Source organism: Homo sapiens, chromosome X, assembly GCF_000001405.40.
Source record: "Homo sapiens chromosome X, GRCh38.p14 Primary Assembly".
Taxonomy (NCBI): domain Eukaryota; kingdom Metazoa; phylum Chordata; class Mammalia; order Primates; family Hominidae; genus Homo; species Homo sapiens.
Window position 1 is genome coordinate 116,825,330 of NC_000023.11, and position 8,654 is coordinate 116,833,983.

Consider the following 8,654-nt stretch of genomic DNA (forward strand, 5'->3'; position numbering starts at 1 on the left):
GAGGTAAAATAAAAAAAATGCTGTCTTCAGAATCAAATCTGAATTACTATGGTTAGCAATCCACATTTTTTTGCTCAGGGGAATTATAATAATTAATATAATATTTTAAACAAATCCTTCTGGAGGTAAATAATTGATTTAAGAGGATAAAACCAATTAAGAGATATTAAACTAGTATCAGTGAGAAGTAAGGAGTACCTGGCATAAGGCAATGACAGTAAGAATAAAGAGGATTTTTTTGTATGTTTTTCTAGTTTTACCTAAAAAAATAATGCTTCAGAAATTTTCTCTGGAGATAAAACTGTTTCTATGTTATTTAAAGAGAATGTCCAAATGAGTCTGGCCTTATATATTACAGCTATTTGGAGGAAGACTTATTTTTGTCTACTCAAAGTTTAGCTTATAAGAAACAGCAAAAGAGAACAGAAATTCATTCATGCATTGTTATTTTCAGCTTTAGAGTCTCAACTGTGACTCTTCTGAACATGGCTAATAGATTAAAAACTAGAGCCCTATGAATACTTTGCAGGTAGAAGCTGCATTTTTAACCAAGAGTGTAATAACAGGCTTTCTAAATCTTGAGGTTTAGTAAGTAATTATTTATTTCTTAAATGAATGTTTAAATTTTAAAAACTTCTCTAATGACTGTAGATAATTTATAATTATAATGAGTGCATGTTCCAGATTTCATGGGTCAACTCCAAGAGAACAGGCCAAAGACGAAAACAACCTTTGAGACTTTGCTTTGGATTCTTGCAAAGACCATGCAAGGACCTTCCTTCTGAATTTTGTTTTGTTTTATGGAGAACGCTTCAGAGCATAGAGCATAAAGACTCAAAAAACTGATTGACCTAAGTGTTCCGTGTATAGAAAAAAGGGATAGGAAGGAGGAAAACGTGTCTGGCATTTTCTGCTTTGAACCTAACACACATAATCCAAAGCTATCACAGCAAGAATAATTCTTCCCCCTAAGTTGGACACAGTGTCCACAGGTATATCTAAAATGATCAAAATATATAAATGAATTAATGTGCTACAACTACCCTGTCTATAGTAGGTGAGCAAACAAGTGTTCTAAATCACCAGAACTACCTACTTAGCCCAATAGAATCCAATGGTGATAAATCTAGAGTCAGTAAATCTCAAGAAAGTAAAACACTCAAATATTTAAAAAATTATTGGGCATTCAATGTTGTTTTGATGGTTGTTTTAGTTGTTTTATATGATCTGAAAATCTTAAAAATGATACTGGAGAAAACAGGACTTTGTAAGTACTATGTTTATTTTTTTCAGCCTTACATTAGGTGATATTATTATTATTATTGAAATTAACTGATGATAAATAAGAAAACTAATGCCTCTACTTCGGTTCTTAATAATCTTATTGTTCTTGAAAGCATTAAAAATGTGGTCATTTGTAACACCATCTCTAGGCAGCTCTCAATATAAAAAATGGAAAACATGTTTTGATTGGTATGTATGTCATAGACTAAAGTGTGGGGCTGTGTGAAAGAAAGAAAAAAATGGTAAGGAGAGAGGAGAATGAGAGTTCAAGAGATATCCACTGATGACATCTCATACCAAGTTATTTCTGAAACAACATAAGGGGGATGTGTTTGAGATCTGCAGAATAGAATATAAAGACTTGTCTAAAGCCCAACTCCTGCATTTCTAGAATGAAGTGCAACGATTAATTGACTCAATGAAGAGTTTACTCTTCTGAATACTAACTGAGACTTCGCATTTTCTGCTGCTCTAGCTGACAGATTTTAGATTTTTACTTAACTGGCGTATTAATAAACAATATTTTGTAGTCTTACTTTCATGGACTTTTCACTGACGTGTTGACATGAATTTTTATTGTTCTTTTTATTGTGCAACCTAAACACACCTTTAGTTCTTTTTCCTTGAGTTCAAGCTGACAAGGAAAACTTCAAGTGTCTGAATGTACATTCTCATAAAAACCTCAACAGAGGTTATGAAGGTAAACTTAACCTTAACGTGTAATTGGAGCATAGAGAGAATGAAGCTGCTTTATACATGAAAAGTGAGAGGTATTCAGAGAAAGAGAAGGAGGAGAGAAAGAGAGAAATGAGGGAGGGAAGGAAGTAAAGCAATGACATTTAAAACTGTTAGAAATATCAGGGGGAAAAGGCAAAAGATACTGAGCATAAAACTGGAGGGTTTTTTGCCTTCAGAAACAGTATATAATAGTCAATGAGAAGGATTTTGCCACAGGAGGCAAATTGCCGTGGATTCTGAAAATTGCAGAGTACTAATAAAACACTGAACATATCCCTGGTTACAAGTACTTAGCTATGCAATTTGTTACTTCTTGGGGAAAGTTTTGCATTACATAAATTTGTGTTTCAGAACCTTCTTTCATTCTGGGTGCAAGCTGAATAGCCAAGTGGGAAGTGACATAGCTTTTATATCAATCATTATGCAAATCTGCCTTTGGCTTTACCTCTAGTTTAAAATATTCTAAATTCTATAAAAAATTATTATAGTTGGAAAAGTAATATTTTGCCTAAATAAATGCTCTTTCTCCTAAATCAACCTGCATTCTCCATTAATGAAAGACTTTGCATGAAAGTTAAAAGAGGCAAAATGGGTGACGGATGCATTTAAATGACAAATTTTCTGTATATTTCCTTTAATATCAGAGCTAGAAGAAATTCTAGTCCTAAGATAGAGAGCTTGAGGCAAATTCTCTAAGTACCCACATTGAATTAGTGACAATAACGGGACTAGACCCCAGGTCATATTGCTCTAAGGCCATTGCACTATATGAGAACTGCCTCTGTGAAACTACAAAGCAAAGGAGGCCTTCAACTGTTTTCAAACAACATGTATTCTCTCCCTCATATTTCTCTGTTTCTCTACATTAATATTGTCATCCCCACCACCTACTCCTAGATCCCATCATGTCCTAAGCAAAAATTTACCTCTTTTAATAAACCTGACTAACTCCACTCTCCAGCCCACACTTATTGCAGATTTATACTTCTGGCTCTCAGCAGAACATTCAAGTTTTAATTTTTTATGTATATTTAAGCCCTTAATCATATGGTGCTTTAAAATTAGTCTTTATTATTCCATGGGGCTTGTTTTGTCCTTTCAATTTAATTGTAAGCTTTTTAGGACAGGGGCCACATTTCCTGCTTGTTTAATAGCAACTTTCAATACTTTACCAACAACCCACACACAACCTTACAGAGAACAAAGAATTGACGTATCTTGTTGTTAAAACTAGAGTTTTAAGAGAATTGCAAGCATTTTCAAAAGTATTTTAAAGCTGTTGTTTTCCTAATTGTACATTTTTCAAATTCTACACAATGAGTCTGCATTACTATTTAAGTAGAAAATTGTATACAATTAAAATAAATTAGAGGCCCATATTTTGTTTTCTTTAACAGCTTATTTTCCTCAGAGCTTTACCTAACATCTCTATTCTGATGCCTCCTGAAACTGAAACTTCCTGTGGACTTTTCACCCAAATCATGTAAATGTATTTTTTACTGCTCATGATCTATCGGGCTCTCTTCAATGTCTGTCTTAAATGTGTTCCCTTATAATGTTTACTCAATAAGCCAACAAATATTTATCAAGCACTAGTCAGTGCCAGGAACAGCATTAGATCTTGCATATACATTGGAAGTGAAACAGGTAATGTTACTCAGTGTAGCTTAGTGGGGAGAGATGCAGAACAAATAGAAAAGCAAGTCAATAAATGTTCAATTTATAAATAAGAAAATTACAGATTTAGAGTCTCAGAGCTAGAAGAGATGTGAGCAAATTCAAGACTTTCTCTCTATTTTCTATTTCTGTTTTAAAGTTTCAAAATAAAGGAGATAGATAAGTTACTTTTCCAACATTACACAGTGTGATGGTTAATACTGAGTGTCGATTTGATTGGATTAAAGGATGCAAAGTATTGTTCCTGGGTGTGTCTGTGAAGGTGTTGCCAAAGGAGATTAAAATTTGAGTCAGTGGACTGGGAGAGGCAGACCCACCCTTAATCTGGGTGGGCACCATTTAATCAGCTGCCAGCTCGGCTAGGATAAAAAGCAGGCAGAGGAACATGGAAGGACTAGACTGGCTAAGTCTTCTGGCCTCCATCTTTCTTCCATGCTGTATGATTCCTGCCCTCAAACATTGAACTCCCAGTTGTTCAGCTTTTGGACTCGTGCTTACACCAGTGGTTTGCCAGTGGCTTTCGGGGCTTTGGCTGCAGACTGAAAGCTGCACCATCGGCTTCTCTACCTTTTGAGGTTTTGGGACTTGGACTGGCTTCCTTCTCCTCAGCTTGCAGGTGGCCTATTGTGGGACTTCTTGTGATCGTGTGAATCAATGCTCCTTAATAAACTTTCTTTCGTATATACATCTATTCTATTAGTCCTGTCCCTCTAGGGAACCCTGACTAACACACACAGCCAAGATTAGACTTCTGTGGAGGTCTTGGCTCTCAGATAAGTGTTAGTTTGCTTACACTTCATCCTGTTTCCCATCCATTTAGATGTTGCCTCATCACATCTAATACAACATGTATTAACAAGCATTAATCAAGAAACAATATATTCCAAGACCTGTACTAAGGTTCTAGGGATATATTGATGAAAAACATCATCAACAGTATCAAAAACAACAAATGCAACTTGTTCTTGGGAGACTGAATCTTAACAGAGGCTTGTTTATTTTGCTAAACTTCTAAAAGAACCAGGTTTTGTTTTGTGTTTTAAGTCTCTCCTTTTGTAACTATAGTGTATTAATTTATGTTCTAATATCTATTATATGTTTATTTCCTTTTTCCAGTTCTTTTAGTTGATGCTGTTGTACTTTTGACACCATTTTAATATGATTACCAATACAAATTTTATCTTTGAAATTCCTAAATTGGTAGAAAAGATTTAAAGAATACATACTTTCTTTTATTTGCCAGTTTAGCTTCATCCCCGATCAGAAATGAAGTGTTTTTATTACTGTTCAATTACAAATATTTTATCATTTATATTATTACATCTTCTTTGAACCATAAATTATATAGAATTTTTTTTTGCCTTTTTATTTTTTTAACGTATGGGAATTGAGTACTCTCATTTCATTGATGTTTAATTTTATCACATAGTCATCAGCAAAATGGGTTACATATCTTATTTTTATACTTCCTTTGTGACCTATACATAGTCAATATTGTGTTACATGAATGTATGCTCTCTAAATGGTGGGTACAGGTAAATGTTCTCCAGATAAAGCTTGTTAACCATGTTTTTATATCTTTATTCATGTTTTGTCTATGTAATCTATCAGTCGCTGTGGGGAAATCGGTGTTAATATCTTCCAGTTTAATTATGGACCAGTCTGTTTCCCTTTGTAATTGTCCACATTTTCTCTATATTTTAAACATAAATTACTACAACAGCCTGTTATATTTCTCTATATCTTTCCATTACTATACAACCTCTCAATTTCCTAAAACGTAAATTTGAATACATTGTTCTTTTGCATAGAAGTCATTAATGATGCATTATTTGTCATTGCAACAATCTTGAATACTTTTGTGTGATTTCCATGTGTAGGCTTTACCCTAAATCCACCAATCCCTTCTCACTAAATTTCTGCTTGATTTTTTTCCCTGACATCAATCTCATCTCTACCTCTATGTTGATTCCACATCTAGGATTGCCCTTTCTCCTATTCTTAATTTATATAATTCCTAAAAGTTCCTTAAAGACATTTTCTCTACAAGACCTTCCTATTCATTCCAACCTGTACTTATCACTCCCTTCTCAGACTCTCAAAGAACTAAGGGTCTAAAGGATATTTGATAGTTTTCTGGTTTTCCTGGACTGGAAAGTCTTTAGATAAAAACTACATTTATACATTACTAGGTATAGCACATGGTAGGAAACATTTAAGCCATTTATGCTGTTTTACCATTTTATTGGCCCTGTACTCTAAGTAGAGAAGTTGATGTTAATCTGCTAAGTTAAATATAAAAACAAAGACTAAAGATACAATCTTTTGAAAGACCTGACATGGTAGCTTAGTTGGGTCTATCATAAAAACCCAGTTAATATTATTTTGAGTAGATAAAATTATTTTATTATTGGTGAATTAATTCTACACTAATAAAATGGAAGATTTTGTCATTCTAATAAAAGAGACTGCAAAGAGAATAGCAAGACAATCCCAGCTGCTAAGTAATAGGTGAAACACATTTATGTACTCTAGATATTACATTCCTTTGAAGAATCCATACTTTTATTTGACCTGGCTCCAGTGGAAAATAAAATGTTAAAAAAAAATACAGTGCTTTCCCCTTCTTTTTCATGAAAAAGAAAAAAACATTTAGGAGGTATTTTCAAAAGGTTAGTTGCTGGTTTAATTTATTTCATGACAGGTTATTACATGCTTCAGTACACAGGATGTTTTCTGCAGAGTGATCACTAATCAAAGCCTTATTGAGATATGATATTTCTTGTAAGCCATTGAAAGAGTATCTGCCTCAGTACTCTAATTTCTTCTCTCATGGTTTGATTTTGAGGAGCTCAATTATATGGCACAAAATCTCATCCATAAAAATAGACCAAAATGAGGGCTTTGATGTTATAGTCAATGTCCCATTATCTGAGCACAGATATTTCACAATAAATCTTACTTTCAATTACTTAAAATATTCTTGCTGGTATAAATACGGTTTTAAGATATTTTGTATAATCGCCTCTTCTTATTGAACTTTAGGGAATTAGTCCTGTAATTAAACTTGAACAGTAGGTAGTTCCTGCCTATCTGTCTGTTTATTCTAAGAGTTGATTGATTTTGAGGAACAGTTACTTATTCTCCACTCCACATGTTCCCATGTGGAAGCCTTCCCATATGTGTAATACTCTTGGCCTTTCTCCTCATTAGAGGAGGAATGGCTTAACTGATTGGTGAGCCTGGGAGAATAAACTAGGGGAGCATGGTAAAATCCTCCCTCTTTTTCAGGACTGGGATCTACTGTCTGGCTATACACATAGTTTTCAGGGTCACCTTTGTATCATAACACAAATGTTATACCCTCGCACAATGAGACTTGAAATTCCTCTGCTATGCTGGTGACATCAGATCTCTCAATCTTAATCATTTATTTGCACTGTTCGTAAACTCAGATATTATCTTAGGTTAAATAAATTGCCCAAGGGCATGAAGATGTTTAAGGTTGCAAATTGAAATTCTAACACAGGTGTTTCTGACCATAAAGCTGATTTTTTACCAAAATCACTTACTTTATTTATGCAAATTTATGTTAAAATCAAATAATAAAGAATTCTGTTTTTGAATAATAAAGGATGACAGGGACCAGATTTGCCTTTCCTCCTGAAACAACAACCATAAAAAACCCAAACAGAAAAAAAAATGTGCGAATCAATTGCTTTCAGGACACTAGATATCAAACAACGAGGGAAAGTGACAACAGAGAGAAGGGGAAACAAATAAACTGAGCACTGTGCTTGCTCCAAATTGTTTCTTTGAGTTTCCAGGCTGCAATGCAGAATAAAATAATTCAGGTGGAGAATCCTTAGCATCCCTGACATAAGGTAAGGGAGCTGAAAGTCCAGGGAGAACAAAGGGGCTAGAATTCACAGTACAGGGTACCACAGAGGAGAAAGCTGCACAGACAGAACAATAGAGATATGCAAAGAATGCCCCTCTAGTGTGTGGCTGAGAACTGAAAAGCACATATGTATGTGGAAATCACCTGAGGCCAGGAGAAAAAGTATCATCCAAAAGGATTAGAGGAGAGTGGCCTATGTTCACACAGGACCAGAAATAGCACCTTTCCTCACCGGTAAGACTGGAAAAACACACAATTTATGTGGCAGTGGGTATGGTATTCAGGAAGACCTTGCCTCAGTAGAAGAGAATAATTAGCCTCATTCTGAGAACTGTTCTGGTCTTGCCTAACAAATACCCAAAAAGATCGAACTGATTCCTAGTATTTGAACTGCATCCCAAGAAAAAACTAAAGAATATTTACTATAATACAAAAATATTCAACATCTATTGAAGTAAAAATCACAATGTCTGATGTTCAAAGATGAACAGACATTCAAAGAAATTGGAAAACATATCCATAATGAAGTAAATAAATAGTCAATTACAACTGACTCAGAACTGACACAAATGTTAGATTTGGCAGATAAAACATTAAACAGTTACTGTAACTATATTCCATATGCTGAGAACATTAAGACTTGTAAAAACATCTAGAGGTGAAAACTTTAATATGCCTAATGAAAATGTACTTAAAGTGATTGACAATAAATTAGAAATTACAGAAGATAGGATTATGTTATGGCAATATAGTGGTAGAAACTATTCAAAATTAAACACACAGGAAAAAAATAACCCAATAAAATTAAAAGAGCATCCAAAAACTGTGGGACTACTTCAAGTGACCTAGCATATTTGTAATTAGACTCATTAAAAGCAATAGTGGTGACAAAATATAGATGAAGAATTAATGGTCAAAAATTTCCTCAGTTTATGAAAATGATCATTCTGAAGAAGTTCAACAAACCTTAAGCACAGAAAACATGAATAAATCTATACCAAGTCACATCATAATCAAATTGATCTATGCCAATGATAAATATAAAAATTTAAAA